The sequence below is a fragment of the Homo sapiens genome, chromosome 1, assembly GCF_000001405.40.
Source record: "Homo sapiens chromosome 1, GRCh38.p14 Primary Assembly".
NCBI lineage: Eukaryota > Metazoa > Chordata > Mammalia > Primates > Hominidae > Homo > Homo sapiens.
Window position 1 is genome coordinate 244,279,197 of NC_000001.11, and position 20,903 is coordinate 244,300,099.

Sequence of the window (20,903 nt, forward strand, 5' to 3'; positions counted from 1 at the left end):
TTTTTCAGCTTTGCTGAAGATCGGATGGTTGTAGGTGTGCAGCATTATTTCTATAAATCCCTTTCTAATGAACAATTCTCAGGTTGTTAATAGGTAAATGTAACTCCTGGGCCCAGCCCCTAGGGCTAAGTTGGCTGTTCACATTAAAATGGTGATCCTGGAGTCTGGCAATGTTAACAATTAAACAACTGTGCTCAATCCTATAGTCCCAACCCTTTGGGAGATGGAGGCCAGCCTAGAAAACATAGCGAAGCCTCATCTCTACAGAAATAAAAAAAATAGCTGGGGCTGGGCACGGTGGCTCACGCCTGTAGTCCCAGCACTTTGGGAGGCCGAGGCAGGCAGATCACCTGAGGTTGGGAGTTCGAGACCAGCCTGGCCAACATGGAGAAACCCCATTTCTACTAAAAATACAAAATTAGCTGGGCATGGTGGGGCGTGCCTGTAATCCCAGCTACTTAGGAGGCTGAGGCAGGAGGATTGCTTGAACCTGGGAGGCGGAGGTTGTGGTGAGCAGACATCATGCCATTGCACTCCGACCTGGGCAACAAGAGCGAAACTCCATCTCAAAAATAAATAAATAAATACATAAATAAATAGCTGGGCATGGTGGTATACTCCTCGCTACTCAGGAGGCTGAGATGGAAGGCTTGAATGAGTCCAAGGTAACAGTGGGCTATGATTGCTCCCCTGCCCTCCAGCCTGGGCAACAGAGCAAGACACTGTCTCTAAAACAATAACATCAAAACGAATGGTGCTGTTATTTCTCTTCTTATCCACACATCTCTCATCCTTGGTTTTAAACATTTTTCAATGTCTCGTATTCATATTGTTAGACCTAGTAATTCTCCTGCTATGCTATAATCTCTCCTAAGTGTGAGAATTAACGTAACCGCTGGCATCCGAATTTTTTGCTGAGAAAAAGATGCTATAGTCAATGATTGGGTAGGAAATGAGCCCTACGCTTAAGAGTCTGCTTGTCAAGCGGCCTTGCCACTGCCCAGGATGCGGTCACCGCTCTGCATTACTCAGGAGAAGGACCAGAGAGTGGAGAGTAGAAATGGGAAGGAGGAAGAGGATCACTAAGTGGCACCATCTCTGGACCCCCAAAATCTTCAGCAGTGTCTTCTAAACACAGTACTGCTTCTTGTGAGTGATTTCCTGTTGTGAAATCCAAAGAAGGAGCTCCGTTTTATGGCAGGATCGACATGGTCTAGGAGCAGAAGGCAGCCCTGAGCAGGCCACGCCCCCATCAATTGGCAGAAAGCTTCAGGATGACTGTGGCTTCCACCAGAATTGGAGCTTCTGAGACAATGTCACCTGGAATGTCATGATCTCAACTGACATCTGGGTTTCTCGGAGATTCGCCCAGGATTTGGTGTACAAGGGTGTTTATCACAGAATGACATATAACATTGAACAATTGGAAACCTAAAGGTACAACAGTGATCCGGCTACATGAATTAAGGGTGAGCTAAATGAGGAAATAATATGCAGCCGTTAAAAATTATGTTTTCAAAGAACATTTAATGACTTGGGTAAAACCTTCTGCTATAAGGTCAAGGAAAGACAAAAAATTCAGAATATTACTGTTGGTATTAGTTCTTTTTTTTTTATAAGTGCCCTTTTCTTGACTTAAAAATAAGACTAAAATTTTAACATAGATGACCCCAGAGTTTGTGGGATTATAAGAGTTTGTGACTTTTTTTTTCTTCTCTGTGATTTCCAAATGCTCCATAATGAGTGGAGTAATTTTAAAATCAAGGAAAATAAACATGACTTTTAAAGAGTGGGAGTGCAGTTTGTTTGTGTTCTTTGGTTCACTTGGCAGAGACTCAGGAGAGATGAGCAAGAAGGATGTTGCCCTTAAGTAATGTTTGGTCGTGATTTGTTTACACTGTACCTGTTTAGATAGAGACAACAATTGCTTAGCAGAGATGAGAAAAGATATTATCTTTAGGGGATCAGCAGTGTTTTCAGGGAAAAAAGAAAGAAAGGAAAATCAGAGGGAAGAGATAGGAAACAGAGGGAAAAATATGTTTAGGCTTTTTATAAAAATGGACTTAGAACTATCCAGTGATTGGCCGGGTGTGGTGGCTCACGCCTGTAACCCCAGCACTTTGGGAGGCCCAGGCGGGTGGATCACGAGGTCAGGAGATTGAGACCATCCTGACTAACACGGTGAAACCCATCTCTACTAAAAATACAAAAAATTAGCCGGGTGTGGTGGTGGGCGCCTGTAGTCCCAGCTACTCGGTAGGTTGAGGCAGGAGAATGGCATGAACCCGGGAGGCGGAGCTTGCAGTGAGCCGAGATTGCCCCACTGCACTCCACCCATCCTGGGCAACAGAGCGAGACTCCGTCTTAAACAAAAAAAAAAAAAAAAAAAACAACTATCCAACTATCCAGTGATTTCTTTATTTCTTTTTCTTTTTTTTTTTTAAAAGATGAAGTCTCGCTCTGTCACGACACAGGCTGGGCGTGGTGGCAGGTGCCTGTAATCCCAGCTACTCAGGAAGCTGAGGCAGGAGAATTGCTTGAGCCCGATCTCGACTCACTACAACCTCTGCCTCCTGGGTTCAAGTGATTATCTCACCTCAGCCTCCTGAGTAGCTGGGATTACAGGCGCCCGCCACCACACCTGACTAATTTTTGTGTTTTTCACCATGTTGACCAGGCTGGTCTCAAACTCCTGACCTCAGGTGATCTGCCCACCTCGGCCTCCCAAAGTGCTGGGATTACAGGCGTGAGCCACCGCGCCTGACCAATTTCTATTTCACCTTTTTGTGTTTCTAGTTCTCTTTTACCAAGTCAAAGAAGTGGAAGTTGGATTATCCATGTTTTGGCAATCATGCTGGAAAGAATTTACATGTGTGTGCACACACAGAGTGAGGCAAACCCTACTCTCTGTGTCTCCCACGAATTAACTGGTATAAGTAAGGACCTTGACCCCCACACCTGCCAAGCCCCACAGAATTGAGGAAACCTTGATCATGGAGCACAGCAGAGTGGAATGTGATGTTTTTCAAATCTCCCTGCTACCAGGCTCAGAGTTGCATGAGGCCGGACCTGACATATGATGATCCCCAAAATAGTTGAGGAATAAATTATATCAGACAGGGCTGGGCATGGTGGCTCGCGCCTGTAATCCCAGCACTTTGGGAGGCTGAGGCGGGAGGATCACCTGAGGTCAGGAGTTTGAGACCAGCATAGCCAACATGGTGAAACCCTGTCTCTACTAAGAATACAAAAATTAGCCGGGGGTGGTGATGGGCACCTGTAATCCCAGCTACTTGGGAGGCTGAAGCGAGATAATCACTTGAACCCGGGAGGTGGAGGTTGCAGTGAGCTGAGATTGCGCCATTGCACTCCAGCCTGGGCAACAAGCGTGAAACTCCTTCTCAAAAAAAAAAAAAAAATTATATCAGACACTCTGGGTCAGCCAGAAAATGCATCCAGCCCAGTGCCCCATCCCAAACTCTGGTGCCACAAAGACATAGCTGATCTTCTTGATATTGACCACCAAAGAATAGGATCACACTCCCAAGACATCCCACAACTAATTCTGGAGACCATGGTGTGACTTGGAATCAAGGACAAGTTACGCTGCTTCTGCCCGTGCAACCCTGGCCAAGCACGTCACCTCACCAGGCCCCACCTTCACAAGCATAGCTCAGGACTCAGGGATTTTCAAGGTAGTTTCGAGCACTAATAGTCTATGATTCTTTGCCTGTAAACTTTACATGCGAGAGATTGTGTGCGTGTGTGTGTCTATGTACGTGTGTGCATGCGTGCGTAATGCTTATTTGCCCAAATGGAAGATAACTTAGTGCATAGATGACAATTTCAATGATATTTAACCCTAAGGGAAAAATGAAAATAAACACCATTTGTTGAGCATCTCTTGAGTCTCTGGGACTATTCTTGGTGTTTGTGCCATGTTACCTCGTTTAATTCTTACAATAACCCTAATTATTCTATAATGTTTTTACACAGCGTGCAGTTTTGGACACTGAAGCTCGGATGTGAAATATCTAGTTCATCCAGACATTAAGAGCCACAGATAAGAAACAGTACCCAGACTAAGCCCAAAATGGCAGATCCCCAGTTCAGTATGGTTGGGGACCCCCTCACCTAAGGAAGGTCCTTTGGTGCTGAGGGGTGAGGTTAGGTGCCACCTGGACCTAGTTGTTGTGACCATTCTAGACACCAATGCAGCTCTCACCATTTCTGCCACCCGGCTTGCCCCCACAGCTCCTGACGATGCCCCCAGTGTTGTGGGCATGCCAAGGGGGCCTCGGTGTTGGAGAAGGAGTGATCACAGCCCTGTGGGCTCCCCAGAAGATGACTTTGTTTTGCTTGTGAAATGTGTGCCCCTGGACTGCAGGGGAACTCACCGAAAGTCACATTTGAGGACTACGTGAATCCCTTTCTCACCACGTCTGCCTGTTCCAGGACCCACACTCACCTTCCGACTCAGAGGCAGCCCTCTGCTTCCTCAAGGGAGGTAAACCTTTCACCTCCCACCCCAAGGGGCTTGGAAAGACCTTGTGACCCAGCCAACATTTTAATTATTACACTAAATGCCATTTCTAAGAATATGCTTCTGGCATAGGAGCAGAATACAGGCAAGAACCCGAAAAAGACCAGAGCTCCATTCCCTTGGTCTAGCCACCATGCTAGACCAATGCCACTTTAAGCTCAGTGTATTTGGAAGAAAGCAAATCCCCAAAGGGTGACATATGCTTAGCCATTTAGGGAGGCTGAGTTATATTGAAAACTAGGAAACCACTGGTAGTTCAACTTTGCTATTTATCTCAACCCCCACAGAATTGACACAACCTTGACCGTGGTGCACAGCAGACTCTAATGCAAGACTTCGAGCAAGCCACCAGCACTCTTTGGGCCTGAGTTCCCACGTCTATAAAAGAAAGGAATTGGGTAAGAGGATCTTTCCTACCTATTCCATTTTTTAAAATAGGTAGGGTCTCATTCTGTTGCCCAGGCTGGATGGCAGTGGCACAGTCATAGCTCACTGCAGCCTCTAACTCCTGGGCTCAAGCAATCCTCCCCGCTCAGCCTCCCTCAGTAGCTGGGACTACAGTTGCACACCACCACACATGGCTAGTTCTTAAAAAATTATTTTTTGTGGAGATGGGGGGGGGTCTTCCTATGCTGCCCAGGCTGGTCTCGAACTCCTGGCCTCAAGTGATCCACCCATCTTGGTTTCCCAAAGTGCTGGGATTACAGGCGTGAGCCACTGCACCCAGCCCTTCTTCTATATTAAAAGTCCATGATTTCCCCAGACTGTCAGCTTTCACAGGGTGCCTCTTAATTCTAGAGACTGTATCTCATTGAGCAACTCCGCGTTCACCTTTCATGACTTTTCTGAGTTTACTTCCTCCTGGCATTACCAAGCGCTAGCCTCCTTCTGTCGAGGTGTGTGGTTCAATGACTGCTGCAGAGACTGCGAACAGAGCCAGATGCCAGCCCCCGTCTTCCAAGAGGCCCCGTCTCGCCTGACACAGACAGGGGCTGCCTGCTGACCTCTCCCCACAGTTGCCACCATGTTGCAGCCCTCCCTGGCAACCTTCCCCAACGACTCACAGGTGTTGCCTGCCACCAGCTCTCAGACACCGCCTGAAGCGTCAGCTGGCCCCGGCGCCTTTGCCATTGGGAATACTGGCACCAGCGCTGCAGAGTGCCTGGAGCTGTTGTACCCTGGGGCCTTCAAAGGCGCCTTGCACAGACGAGTTCCCACGGGGTGGATGGTCTCACCCCATTTCACAGATGGGGAACCGTGACCACAGGGCCTCCTCGTCTTCCAAGAAGGAACAAAAGCAAGGTGTCAGCCAGGGCAGAAATAAAAGCTCCAGCACTCTCCCGAAGGAAGGCAAGCACTCATCATCAGTCATGCATCTTTTTACCTTTTGAAACTTTGTCGGATTTATATATAGCCTCCATCTTGTCCCTCTGAACTCGGCAGGGCTCGTAATCAGTCACTGGGCTGAACACCTGGAACTCTGTGGGGATTATCATTAGAAGGATGCGAGGCCAGGTGTGGTTTTGGACCAGAGACCTATTGGAAAAGGGAGGATTTCTCACTTTCCAAGTTTACTCTGCTCAAGTTAAAACAATTAACCTCCTTTCCCCTTCAAACAACTGTTCTCCACAGCTTTCTACCAGCAATCTTCAACCCAAAGACATAATGTCAAAAGTGGACTCTCTCCCTCTCAGAACGTTCCGGTGAAAAGGCAGATCAGACCTGCCCTTGGGGCTTCTTTCTGCCATTGTCGCCTTCTCTTCCCCACTAACTTCACCCCCTCCTTCTAGACGCCGGGGCCTCCAGAGAGCAGCATTTTCTCTAATGCTGGGGTCATGGAGCGATTGTAGCAACAATGGGTTTTGCACAATTGGGCCCCCATTGCTCACCTTGCAAGAGTTTGCCAGGCTGGCCAGCAGGAAGGGAAGGGCAAGTGGTAAGGACATCCCCACTTGGGGTCTTAGTTCTCTTGACGATGTAGCTGTCGGCACAGTCCCTTCTTGGGCTGTAACCTCTCCCAGACACACATGTGCACTCACAAACACACACACACACACACTCAAAAATTCTTGGTGACATGAGTATTTTCAGGGAATCACATAGCTCTTCTTACATAATACTATAGCAAGCATGAATTGAGTCCTTATTCCATTCTGGGCAATGTGCTAGGTGATTTTCACACACTAATGGCTTCATTAAATCCTCACAATAATCCTGTGAGGAAATATGTGGCATGAATTTGAAGCCCAAGAATTGAATGAAATAACCCAGATCACACAGCTAGTGAGTGGCAACGCCAGGGCTTGGACCCAGTCTTATCTGACAGATGAGCTTGCTAGCTGTTGTCGGAGATCCTCCCTGTGACTTAGCAGGTCAACAATAGCTGTCAAGGCACTTCAGATCTGTATGAGGCAGCCCTAGCCACCTCTTGGCACCTAGGTGCCCGAGAGGGAAGCTGGCACTCACCCATCTCACGTACGCTGGCTTTTCCTAAGGTTACACGGAGGGACGGTGATGGCCTGCCACCCTCTGAAAACACTGTCCCATGCAGGGTTTCAGATGATGAGAAACAACTGGTCACAGAAAATTAGCTGATCATCTTGCAGACTTTATCTAACCCAGTGGTTTTCAAACCTAGCTGTACATGAGACAACTGGAGAGATTTGTTTTAAATCCTGAAGACCAGGCTGTACCAGGCTGTTTATTTCCCCTCTGCATTCATACGTTGACACCATCATCCTCAGTGGAAAGGTATTTGGAGGTGGGGCCTTTGGGAGGTCATGAGGTCACAGGGGTGGAGTTCTCATGATGGGATTAGTGCCGTTATAAGAAGAGACAGAGGAGAACTTGTCTCCTCTCCCTCTGCTCCCTGCCACGTGCTCTCCCGCAGGAAGACGGCTGTCTGTAAACCAAGAGGAGAGCCCTCAGCAGAAACCAACCATGCTGACACTCTGGTCTTGGACTTCCAGCCCCTAGAACTATGGGAGATATGTTTCTGTTGTTAAGCCATCCTTTCTATGGTATTTTTGTTATAGCAGTGCAGACTGAAAAAGACTTACCCCGTGCCAATTAACATGTAGTTGGAACCCAACCATCAGAATTTTTTTATTTTGTTTTGTTTTAGACAGAGTCTTGCTCTGTCACCAGGCTGGAGTGCAGTGGCACAATCTCGGCTCACTGCAACCTCTGCCTCCCGGGTTCAAGCAATTCTCCTGCCTCAGCTGCCTGAGTAGCTGGGACTACAGGTGCCCACCACCACACCCAGCTAATTTTTGTATTTTGGGTAGAAACGGGGTTTCACCATGTTGGCCAGGCTGGTCTCAATCTCTTGACCTCATGATCCACCCGCCTCAGCCTCCCAAAGTGCTGGGATTACAGGCGTGAGCCACTGTGCCTGGCCCTGTCAGAATTTTAAGATAATATTTTATATTTTCAAATGATCACAGATTTACAAAAAAAGTTGCAGGTACAATACAAAAAACTTCTCCTGAACCAATCAAGAGTGATTCGCCAAGCTAATCCATCATCTTCCTTGCACGTTCTAGTGTCTGTTTTCTACAAACAAGGATGTTCTCCTATACAGCCTCAATATAAGCAGCAAAATCAGTAAATTAACATTGTTACATCTCTACTAACTAACCCTCAGATTCCATCCACGTTTCCCCAGCTGTCCTAATAACATTCTTTATAGCAAAAGGGTACAGTCCAGAATCTCGAGTTGCAGTTATTGATCAGGTGCCGTTAATCTCTTTCATTTTATTTTATTTTTTAGAGATAGTGTCTTGCTCTGTTGCCCAGGCTGGAGTGCAGTGGCACAATCACGGCTCACTGCAGCCTCTAACTCTTGGGATCAAATGATCCTCCCTCCTCAGTCTCCCGAGTTGCTGGGTTTACAGACACACACTACCACACTTGGCTAATTTGTTTTTTAATTTTTGTAAAGACAGGGTCTCACTTTGTTTCCCAGGCTGGTCCTGAACTCCTGACCTCAGGCTATCCTCCTGCCTTGGCCTCCCTAAGTGTTGGGATTATAGGCGTGAGTCACTGCACCTGGCCCTTTTAGTCACTTTCATTTGGGGAGAGTTCTTCAGTCTTTCCTTGACTTTCATGACCTTGACACACTTGAAGATTATTTTGCAGGATGTTCCTCAATTTGGGTTTGTCTAACATTTCCTCACAGGGAGATTTTGTTTACTCCTCTTTTGGCAAGAATATCACAGAAATGATGTTATGCTCTCATTGCATCCAACAGGGTGGCTAACAATTTTCATTTGTCCCATGATTGCTAAAATTCACTTTGATCACTTGATTAAGATGATGTGTGCCAGGCTTCTCCACTGTAAAGTTGCCCCTTTTCCTTTGTAAATGAATTAGTATTTTGTGGTGAAAGATAAAAGGTGGGTTGTGTGTGGGAAGACTGACCAGCTGTTGGTTATTTTTAACATCATTATTCCAAAGGGTAGGTGATTCCAAACTACAATCAATTTTGAGAACCACTGGCCTAGCTCCTTCCTTTGGGGGCCCCCATGACATGAGTTAATTATAATAAGAGCTAACATTTATTAGCTAACATTTATGGAGCCCTTAGCTTTATATGCATCATTGCCATCATTATAGCCACTTCCAGTTATTACGCATTTATTCAACAAATTCTTACTGAGCACCTACTATGGGCCAAACACTGTTCCATGATCAAGAAAGACACAAACTCCCTTTTCTTGTGGAACTTACACTCCAGTGGAATGCCATGTACCAAACACCATGCTAATTACTTTCTATTCACAGTAATGATGACAATAACAATAATAATAATAGTGATTTACTTTTACTGAGCACATACTATGAACCAGACCCTTAGCTCACCCTTACAACAACTCTATGAGGCAGGTACTTTTATTATATACTTACAAACTACTCTTCAAATTAGGGGGGGAAAAGGCTATAAGACTCATAGAAATGTAGTTCACACCACATTTGATACAGTAATGACGTTCTCTTCAGTCCCAGCAAAGATGGCTACAGACACTCAGGTTTTGAAAAATCCTACTGAATTAACAAAATACCACCTTACACATATCAAGCTGGCAAAAATTAGAAAGTTGGACAATATCAAGTGGTGGCAAAGACATGGGGAAATGTGAACCTTTGAGCATTGTTGGTTGAAATATTAGCTGGTGAAGCCATTTGGAAGAGAATTTTCTATAGGTATTCCCCAGGACCCAGGGAAACCATGCTTGGTATATATCCTGGAGAAATTGTCACACAAGGTCACAAAGAGATATACACAAAAGGATCACACAGAGCTGTATATACTGCAGAGTTGGAGGTAATCTAGGGGCCATACTAGGAAAACGGACAAGCAAAATAAGCTATATACATTTGGCTAAATGCTTTGTGATAGAAGAAATCACTTAGACTGTACACACATGTATAAATCTCAAAACTATAAATGTTAAGACAAAAATGTAAGAAACAGAATATTTTTAGCATAATAACATGTATAAGACTTTTTAAACAATATACAGCTGTGCACAGTGGCTCATGCCTGTCATCCCAGCACTTTGATCTCAGGAGTTTGAGACCAGCCTGAACAACATAGCTAAACCCTGTCTTTACCAAAAGTACAAAAAATTAGCTATGCATGGTGGCATGTGCCTATGGTCCCAAGCTACTCAGGAGGCTGCGGTGGGAGGATCACTTGAGCCTGGGAGGTCCAGGCTGCAGTGAACATTGATCAGTTGTACCACTGCACTCCAGTCTGGGCAACAGAATGAGACTCTGTCTCAAAAAAAAAAAAAAAAGCACATATGTATACCTATACAAAAATACTGTATATTATGGAGGATATATACATATATCTGTGTGGTGGGAGGTGGATTGGAGGGAGATGCACGCATTAAGTATATAAGTCTGGGTATGCCTGGGAACCGGAAGGACAATGGGATTGGAGCTGGGATACAAAGGGTGACATAACAATTTACTTGACAATAGAAGAGGAGCCTTGTGGGGACAACGATAATAGCATGCTATGAATTAATAATTGCGATCAATTTGATTCTGTGCCTGGGAGAAGAATAAAGAGGGGGAGGCAGTGCATGAAAGTATGTGGGGAAAGGCTACATGAACACCCTGGAAAGAGCTTCTTTACACTCAACTCTCTCCTAACCTATGCCCATGGAGAGACTGAGGTCTCTGGGACAGAGTCTTGCCTTTTTACAATCCTCCCTCCTCAGCCTCCCGAGTAACTAGGACTATAGGCAAGCCACCATGCTCAGATTACATATATGTAATTGGAGATGGGGTCTTGCCATGTTACCCGGGCTGATCTCAAACTCCTGGCCTCAAGCTATCCTACCGCCTCCGTGTCCCAAAGCACTGAGATTACAGACATGAGCCACCATGCCCAGCCAATCACCTGTATCTTGAATCTGTTTTCTTGATGACTTGTTTGGCGTCTGGCCATGTCTTTCCTGGAAGTAAACATTCCCTCAATTTTGTCCTCCTGTTTCTATACACTGTGGGTAGCTAACCCCGCTCCAGGCCTGACTCCCCTCCTTTCCTTATAATCTTCCCATAGCTCTCCCACTTTCCCTGATGACTGCAGCCCCTAATAGTACCCCCACCCCCAGCACTCTGGAATTCCAGAATCCCTCTGTAAATCCATGCACCCAACCCTTCCTCAGCAGGCATTGCTCAATGCCTAATTGCAGCCAGGCACTGTTCGGGGGAATAAAGTAGGAATAAACTCAACATATAGCTTAGGGTCTAGTGGAGGGACGGATGTTAAAGAAACAATGACCACAGAATTTCAAAGAGTAATGAACTGTATGAGATCATCAAAGAATACTGTGGGCGAAAGAGTGGCCCCTCATTTCGACAGTGGGTAGGGAGGAAAGAAGGTGTCTTTGAGGAAACAACATCAAAGCTGAGGCAGGTGATGAATATGTTGGATGGAGAAAGAGAAAGAAAACCAAGAATCAAGTGCCACGGCCCTGAAGTAGGAAAGGCTGGATGTGCTTTATGGAGAGAGGGGCAATTCGTGTGGGTAGAACTGACTGGGGCACAGCCTCGCGTCTGTGAGGCTTTTCCTCAAGGGTAGGGATTTTATATTTCTTTTTTTTCTTTCTTTTTTTTTTTTTTGAGACAGAGTCTTGCTCTGTCACCCAGGCTGGAGTGCAGGGGCACCATCTCGGCTCACTGCAACCTCTGCCTCCCGGGTTCAAGCGATCATCCTGCCTCAGCCTCCCTAGTAGCTGGGATTACAGGTGCACACCATCACACCTAGCTAATTTTTGGTTTTGTTTTTGTTTTTTCAGTAGAGGCAGGGTTTCTCCATGTTGGCTAGGCAGGTTTCGAACTTCTGACCTCAGGTGATCTGCCCACCTCAGCCTCCCAAAGTGCTGGGGTTACAGGTGTGAGCCACTGCACCAGGCTGGTATTTTAGATTTCATCCTAAGTGTAGGAAAGCCACTGGGGGGTCTCAAGTGGAGGAGAAGGAGGGGCATTCTCTGATTTTTATTTTATAAAGCTCGCTGGGGCTGCTGAATGGGGAGGAGTTTGGTGGGCATGGTGGGGAAAACAGGGCCCCTTCCTGTTACCCCAGAATATGGGAGGTCTCTTCATGACTGCATTTGTGAGTTCTGTGCCTTCATCTGCCTTTATCTTGCTTTGTGATCATGTTAAGAAATCACTCTGTTTCCTCCCAAGTTTAAAAAAAAAAAAGCAGGGACAGAAGTATTAGCCCACTTCCCATTAATGGTCTGAACAGCTGCTGAACTACTCCTGAGTGCAATAAAGACACTGAATGGGATGAGAACAGGTGTGACCATCTTTTCCTACCCAGCGAATGGTAATTTCGGTGGGTTGGCATCAACTCATCTATTTGGTAAGAATCCTGTTGGGGTCTTCCAGTGAGTGGACAGTGGGACAAAGGGCCAAACAAAGGCGTGGGGACAGGAACCGGGCACAGCAGCAAGCAGCCCAGGGAAGAAAGGGCCAGACGCCACCAGCACGTCCTCACACCAGCAGACGCTTTCTGATGTCTTCACAGCTACATCCAACCTTTACACCGCAAGGGCGCTTCTCCAACTCCATGGAATCATTTTCAGGTTTTAGAAGCAACTTTCTGGCCTCTTTCTGCTCTACCCAAAGTAATGTTCCCAGGACTTTCCTGGGACCTCATGGCCCCCTCACCAGAGAGCGACCGGGATCCCTCCCGCCTGGGGCTCTGGCCCGCTGGTGCCTCTGCCTCTCTGCGTCCCTTCTTTCATGTGTCACCTGCAGCCCAGCACCCACCAGCTCCTCTGAGGGTGGCAGCAACTGAACTACAAAACAGGGGGGTGCCAACTACAGGTGCAAACTTTTTTCCTGCCAGTAAATCAAGACACGTACACAGTATTGTTGGAGACTGTCTTCACCAGAGGCTCTTATTGACTCTATCCTGTCTCAGCCATATGTGCTACACAGCCCAGCAGGGTCATAATGATTTAATCATGGATACACATTAGAACTTTCTGGAATCCTTTAAAACCATCCATGCTTAAAATATAGTATATCCATAGAAGAAAATATTATTTGGCCATAAAAAGGAATGAAGTACAGTTGGCCTTGAACAATGCAAGGGTTAGCGTCACTGACCCCTGCACAGTCAAAAATCTATGTGTATCTTTGGATTCCTCCAAAACTTAACTACTAATAGCCTACTGTTGAATGGAAGTCTTGCCAATAACATAGTCAATTAATACATGTTTAGTATGTTGTATGTATCATATACTGTATTTTTACAATAATGTAAGCTAGAGAATAGAAAATGTTATTAAGAGAATCACAAGGGACAGCAAATATATTTCCTATTGATTAAGAGGAAGTGGGTCATCATAAAGGTCTTCCTCCTCATCCTTTTCATGTTGAGTAGGCTGAGGAGGAGGAGGGGCTGGTCTTGCTGTCTCAGGGGAGGCAGAGGCAGAAGATGGGAAGGAGTGGAAGGGGGAGGCAGGAGAGGCAGGCACTCTCGGTGTAACGTGTATTGAAAAAAATCCTTGTATGCACGCTTTCACTTATTTCAAACCCTGATTGTTCAAGAGTCAACTGGACTAACATGTGCTACAACATGAGTGAAACTCAAAACAATTACGCCAAGAGAAAGAAGCCAGTCACCGAAAACTGCGTTGTACAATCCCATTTAAATGAAAGATCCAGAATGGGCAAATCTATGAAGACAAAGTAGATTAGTAGTTGCCTAGGGCTTGGTGGGGAAGTAAATAGGAAGCGACTGCTAACAGGTACCTTGGTTTCTTTTGGGGGTGATGAAGATGTTCTAAAATTACATAGATGTGATGGTTGCACAACATTGTAAATAACTAAAAACCCATCGAACTATACACTTTCAAAGAGTGGATTTTTTTTTTTTTCAGAGCCTTGCTCTGTTACCCAGGCCGAAATGCAGTTGCATGATCATAGCTCATTTCAGCCTCGACCTCCTGGGCTCAAGAGATCTTCCCATCTCAGCCTCCTGAGAGGCTGGGACTACAGGCGCATACCACAACACCCAGCTAATTTTTTAATTTTCTGTAGAGATGGAGCCTCACTCTGTTGCCCAGCCTGGTCTCAAACTCCTGGGCTCAGGTGATCCTCCTGCCCCAGCCTCTCAAAGTGCTGGAATTACAGGTGTGAACCACCACACCCGGCTCAAAGAGTGAATTTTATGGCATGTGAATTATAGTTCAGTAAAGTCGTCAAAATACATTGATGACTTTGCTCCGCCCCACCCCAATTAAATCAGGATGTCTGGGGGTTGAAGCCCAGGTATCATTGGGTTTTTAAAACTCCCCAGCTGACAGGGAAAGATTTGTTAAGGGATACAAAATCACAGCTAGATAGGACTAAGTTCCAGTGTTCTATACCACTATAGGATGACTGTAGTTAACAGCAATATACTATCTAGTTTCAAATAGCTAGAAGGAAGATTTTCTGTTGTTGTAGAAATGGTGTCTCACTATCTTGCCCAGGCTGGTCTCAAACTCCTGGTCTCAAGCCATCGTCCTGCCTCAACCTCCCAAAGTGCTGGGTTACAGGCATGAGCCATTGCACCCAGCCATAGAAGGAAGATATTCAATGTTCCCAACACAAAAGAATGATAAATGTTTCAGATGATGGGTGAGCTAATTACCCCGATCTGATCACTATATGTTTTAGATATATATAGAAACAATACTATGTGCCCAACGAGTATGTACAATTATTGTATGTCAATTTTTTTTTTTTTTTTTGAGACAGAGTTTCACTCTTGTTGCCCAGGCTGGAGTGCAATGGCGCAATCTCAGCTCACCACAACCTCCGCCTCCCAGTTTCAAGCGATTCTCCTGCCTCAGCCTCGCCAGTAGCTGGGATTACAGGCATGCTCCACCACACCCGGCTAATTTTGTATTTTTAGTAGAGACGAGGTTTCTTCATGTTGGTCAGGCTGGTCTTGAACTCCCGAACTTAGGTGATCCGCCCGCCTCGGCCTCCCAAAATGCTGGGATTACAGGTGTGAGCCACCGCGCCTGGCCTATATGTCAATTTTTCAAGTTAAATTAAATTAAACTAAACTTCTTTTTAAAAGCCCCCAGGTGATTCTAATATGTAGCGATGGCTGAGAACCACGGGTCTGGTCTAACCCTCTGGTTGGCACCTGAGGACACTGGGATCTGCAGAGCTGTCGTGACTCTCAATGTCATTTAGCAGAGGCAGGACTAGAACCCAGGCTTCCAAAGCCAGGTTATCCCCAGCCCTTCTCTGTGCTCAGGCCCCTGATTGCATCCTGACTAGATGCTCTTGGGCCTCCCTAAACCCCATGACATCTTTTGAATTGCTCTCTTTCCAAAATATTCAAACTGCTTCACTTGTTAATATTTCTCTTCTAAACCCACGGCCCCCTCCTTGACATTTCTCTAGCTTGTTCATGCTTCACATCTCCCACCTATTATACAGGCCGGCTTCTTTCCTTCCAGTCAATTTCTTGCCCATTATGAATTTGCATGTACAAGTGCCCGAATTTACATTTAACATACACAATTGGTTCTGTCTTCAGCTGAAAGGTTCTACCCATTCAAACTTTACAGTTGAAGAGGAGAATCTATTCATCACAGGAGGCTAGATCCCTCAGGGAAGCCAGTGTAATTGGCTGTTCATAATTCCCATTTCGAGTTAGATGGCTGTTTAAACTTTGAGGAATCTTGACTGCAAGTTAATCTTCAGGATGAGACTATGAGAGGGTTACAGCTGATGTCATTGTTAGAGATGACGGATGTCCAGAAACTAGAAACCTGTCGCAAGCAGGGCTTGATTAGATAGCTTAAGAGGAAAAATAAAAAGGCAAAGCTGAGTGCTTTCAAAAGAAGGGTTTAAAAATGTTTTTAATCTACATTTTTGTACATAATATGGTTTGTAAATGCATTGGGGGTTTGTGTTTCCTAAGCACGAAGACACTTGTCATACTTTCTCATCTGGAGAAAGCAAAGAGAAGAGTAATATTTATTTATATTTGTATTCTTTCTCTCCTTTAGGACTTCAAACTTTAAAAGGAGAAGTGTTTTCTTATTCATCTTTCTTTTTATTTTTTGTTTTCGTTTTAGAGACAGGGTCTTTGTCTTTTGTCCAGGCTGGAGTGCAGGGGCGCGATCACTGCTCACAGCAACCTCTGCCTCCCGGGCTCAAGCAGTCTTCCCTCCTCAGCCTCCCAAGTAGCCGGGACTACAGGTGCACCACACCAGCTAATTTCTGTGTTTGTTTGTAGAGACAGGTGTTTGTCATGTTACTCAGGCTGGTCTTGAACTCCTGAGCTCAAGTGATCCGCCCGCCTCGGCTTCCCAAACTGCTGGGATTACAGGCGTGAGGCACCGGGCCTGGCCTCTTCATCTTTCTATCTGCCCTCTCCTCGCTTTCTGTATTAGAATCCAGCATAGAATCAGGGCTCAACAAATGTTTTGAATGAAACCCACAGCAACAAATCTCAGATGGAGGGAGGGGAGTGAGAAATGGGGATGGAAATAGCATAATCAATATAGTCAATATTATTATTATTATTATTATTATTATTATTATTTTGGAGACGGAGTCTCGCTCTGTCCCGAGGCTGGAGCGCAATGGTGCGATCTCAGCTCACTGCAACCTCTGCCTCCGAGGTTCAAGCAATTCTCCTGCCTCAGCCTCCTGAGTAGCTGGGGCTACAGGCATGTGCCACCACACTCAGCTAATTTTTTTTTTTTTTTTTTTAGTAGAGACGGGGTTTCACCATGTTGCCCAGGCTGGTCTCGAACTCCTGAGCTCAGGCAATCCGCCCGCCTCAGCCTCCCAAAGTTATAGTCAGTATTATTATATCACAAACCGCATCACTCAACAAGGATATGTGGAGCTCCTCTTCTGTGCTGGGGACTGCTGCAATGACTGAGGCTGGTTAGTCACTGGTCACAAGCAGTCACTCTCTCAAGCCACCTCCATTCTACAGAAAGCAAACCGCCCCCACGTTGCCGGTGGGGATGTGAGAAATCCCATAAATCCCAGGAAAAGTCAGAGAGATAAAAATACAAATGCTTGCCCCATTTTCCCACACTCCTCAAGGCTCTTTCCATAGTTCCTTTTCCTCTGGTCATTAATGAGAGTGAGAACAAAATGGCAAGGAAAAAAAGGATATTAGGATATTCCTAATATCCGAATAGTCACATGAAGTTTGCATCACGCAGTCACCTGTTCTGTGTCATTTAATCTCACAGCCGTGGAAGAGACAGCATTATTCCCCTTCCTTAGGTAAAGGAGCCAAGATCGTGGAGGACATGTGATTTGTTCAGTCACACAGCAGATAAGACACAGGGCTAGCAGGGAATCGCCAGATCAGCAACATGCCCATCCTGTGTCTTCACGTCTTACCACACGGCCTCCCAATGAAACAAGGAAGCTCTGGAGTCCACAAACAGATCTTGAGACAAAAAAAAAGAAAAGAAAAGAAATAAAAAGCAAACAGGAAACTCTGAGGACTGGGAGCAGGAAGGGGAAGATAGTATATGTAGGCCCAAAGACTGGAATCTTGGCTCAAACACTGCAATGTCACTCTCAGAAGTGGATGGAGGCCGTGCACGGTGGCTCATGCTTGTAATCTCAGCACTTTGGGAGGCCAAGGTGGGTGGATCACTTGAGGTCAGGAGTTCGAGACCAGCCTGGCTAACGTGATGAAACCCTGCCTCTACCAAAATAATAATAATAATAATGATAATAATAATACAAAAGTTAGCCGGGTGCAGTGGCATGTTTCTGTGATCCCAGCTCTTCAGGATGCTAAGGCATGAGAATCGCTTGAACCCAGGAGGTGGAGGTTGCAGTGAGCTGAGATTGCACCACTGTACTCCATCCTGGGTGACAGAGTGAGACTGCCTCAAAAAAAATTAATTAATTAATTAATTTTAAAAAAGAGAGAGAGAGAAAGAAGAAAAGAAATGGATGGAAAATTAAGTGTTCACTTGAAAAAATAAAAATAAAAAAAGTGATAGAAGATACGGCTGCAAAAGCAGCAATGAACTGGCTGAAAGACTGAAGCTCTGTCCTTAGATTGAAAAGTGAGGCGATTCCAATATTCAAAAGCTTGGTACTTTTGTGCCTGACTGAGTTGTAGCCCTCGTCCAAGAGATTGTCCAGGAATGGAGAAAAATAGCTTTATTTGAAGGCAGTGGTAGAAAGAGAATAATAACAAAGTTGTTTTTTAATCCTAAAAGAGCAAGTGTCCAGGAGAGGCCAATTTATAAGGAGGTTCTGGAGTAATGTCAGTAATAAAACCTCCCGGGAAGATGAAATACATGCCACTCTGGCTCTCCAGCTAGTAGGTGCTGATGGGCCCCCAGCAGCCACCAAAATTCTATTTCATTGACTCTTATCCCAACATCCTTGATAGAGGAGATCTAACTTTGCAAAATCCTCTCCAAGTGTTTCGGGGATCTTGGGTTTTGTCGTTTAAGCTCATAAAGAGTTCTCTCACGTTCCTTGGCCCTGGGCCCCTCTGTTGTTTTTTGCTTGTGAAGCCATTTGAGGGCTGCTGTGTGCCACCGTCACAGCTGTGTGGCAAGCCTAGAGTCATGCTGTTATAACCACCCGATGGGTGCTTCCTGCCCACTACACAAACAAAATCCATTCACAGAGACCACAGCATTGCAGATCACAAGGTCAGGAGATCGAGACCATCTTGGCCAACATGGTGAAACCAAGTCTCTACTAAAATACAAAAATTAGCCAGGTGTGGTGGTGCGCACCTGTAGTTCCAGCTGCTCGGGAGGCTGAGATAGAGTAATTGTTTGGAAGTGGAGGTTGCAGTGAGCTGAGATCGCCCCACTGCACTCCAGCCTGGTGACACAGCAACACTCCGTCTCAAAAAAATAAAAAGAGTTTAATTGACTCGAGGTCAGTCATGCCACATGGGAGATGGAGTTATCACTCAAATCGACCTCACTGAAGGCTCAGAGGTTAGGAGTTTTTGAAGGGTAGTTTGGGAGAAGGGATGGAGGTGTCTGGGCAATGGGTGCTTGCTGCTGATTGGCTGGGGGTGCAATCATAGGGGTGTGGGAAATGGTCCTCCTGTGCCTGAGTCCTTTGTGGGTGGGGCCACAGGAGGGGTCAGTGGGTCTAGGTGGAGGCATGAGTGTCAGACATCAAAAAAAAAGACTGAAAAGATATCCCAAAGGCCAATCTTAGGCTCTATAACGGTGATATTATCTGCAGGAGTAATCTGGGAGGTTGCAAATCTTATGACCTGCAGAATAATGGTTGGCAATCATTTATGTCTACACCTTAGCAGAATTCAGGCTCCTCTACCCTGCTAGCCTGGTGGTCTCTCATTACTTTTACAAAAGCAGCTGACTTTGGGGAAAGGGCTATTATCATTTAACTCTCAAAGTTAGCTTGGCCTACACCCAGAAATATTAACAATTAATGGCAACTTGAAGGCTAAAGGCAAGATGAGGGTTGGCTAGATCAGATCTCCCTCACTGCCATAGTTCTCTCACTGACCTAATTTTTGCAAAGCGGTTTCACTGTGTTTCTTGTAAAGGTAGAGGAGAAAGCCCCTCTCCTCCCTCCCTCCCTCTGTGTCACATTTTATTACTTGTGTTAGTGAGCACTAAAAAATGTAAGTCCTGGGTCTTGTGTGAAAAGCTTGCAGTTTTAGGCTGGGCGTGGTGGCTCACACCTGTAATCCCAGAACTTTGGGAGGCCGAGGCGGGTGGATCACCTGAGGTCAGGAGTTCGAGACCAGCCTGACCAACATGGTGAAACCCTGTCTCTGCTAAAAATACAAAATTAGCCGGGCATGGTGGCGGGCGCCTATAATCCCAGCTACTCGGGAGGCTGAGGCAGGAGAATTGTTTGAAGCCGGGAGGCGGAGGTTGCATTGAGGTGAGCTCGCACCACTGCACTCCAGCCTGGGCAACAAGAGCGAGACTCCAAAAAAGGAGACAGAGAGAGAGAGAGAGAGAGAAACGAAAAGCTTGCAGTTTCGACATGCCCTGCTTCTCTGCAGAGACACAAGTCCATGACACTGGTGTCGTGGTTCCTTTTCACTCTCATTGTTTTGGTTGTTTCAGTTCTTTCCCCCCATTTCTCAAACAATCTCCTCCCTCTACTGCAACCAAAAAGCCCCATGCCTCTTCTCCCACCACCCTGCAGACTCAGACAAGACTGCATCTCAGCTTGCTCTCAGGCTGAGAGCACTGATAGCTTGGCTTTATCTAGCAGACAACAGGAAGCCTCTGAAGGGCTCTGGGCAGAGAAATCGTTAGGAAGATGCATCTTGGCAGTAGTTCCTCAAATGAATTGGGCGGTAGTGAAACGTCTTGATTCTCAGAGCAGACTCAGCGTGGGACGGCACACTGGTGCCACCTGGAGGCGGCCGGCCTCAATTACAGACGCAGTTTACAGAAAGCTGACAAAACCCTTCTGAAACCAAATCTGAAACAGAAAGCCATCGAGTGACTTTTTAGCGCTACAGGAAGAGTGGTCTGTTTATTTGGGCTAAGCCAGCAAGGAACAAAACTTCAGGGAAGTGGCCCTGCTAGAGACTCTAGGACTAGCCTGGCCCTCCATGTCCTCCTTTGGGAGAGGCTGACTTACAAGGAGGTTCTTTTTTTTTTTTTTTTCTTTTTGAGACGGAGTCTTGCTCTGTGGCCCAGGCTGGAGTGCAGGGGCGCGACCTCGGCTCACTGCAAGCTCCGCCTCCCGGGTTCACGCCATTCTCCTGCCTCAGCCTCCCGAGTAGCTGGGACTACAGGCGCCCGCCACCACGCCTGGCTAATTTTTTGTATTTTTAGTAGAGACGTGTTTTCACCGTGTTAGCCAGGATGGT

The 20,903-nt window shown here is 46.0% G+C and overlaps 1 long non-coding RNA gene across 2 annotated transcripts in view, besides 1 other annotated feature; it reads right to left on the reverse strand.

Annotated features, from left to right (window-relative positions):
- Positions 1–20,903, reverse strand: part of LOC105373262 (uncharacterized) — a 94,430-nt gene that overhangs the window by 48,449 nt on the left and 25,078 nt on the right. The gene's annotated exons all lie outside the window — the stretch shown is intronic.
- Positions 20,526–20,595: an enhancer, noted in NCBI's record as "active region_2836". NCBI's record gives its function as "activates an Ori minimal core promoter by ATAC-STARR-seq in GM12878 lymphoblastoid cells {active_cell/tissue: GM12878}" and the evidence as "EXISTENCE:reporter gene assay evidence [ECO:0000049][PMID:35858748]".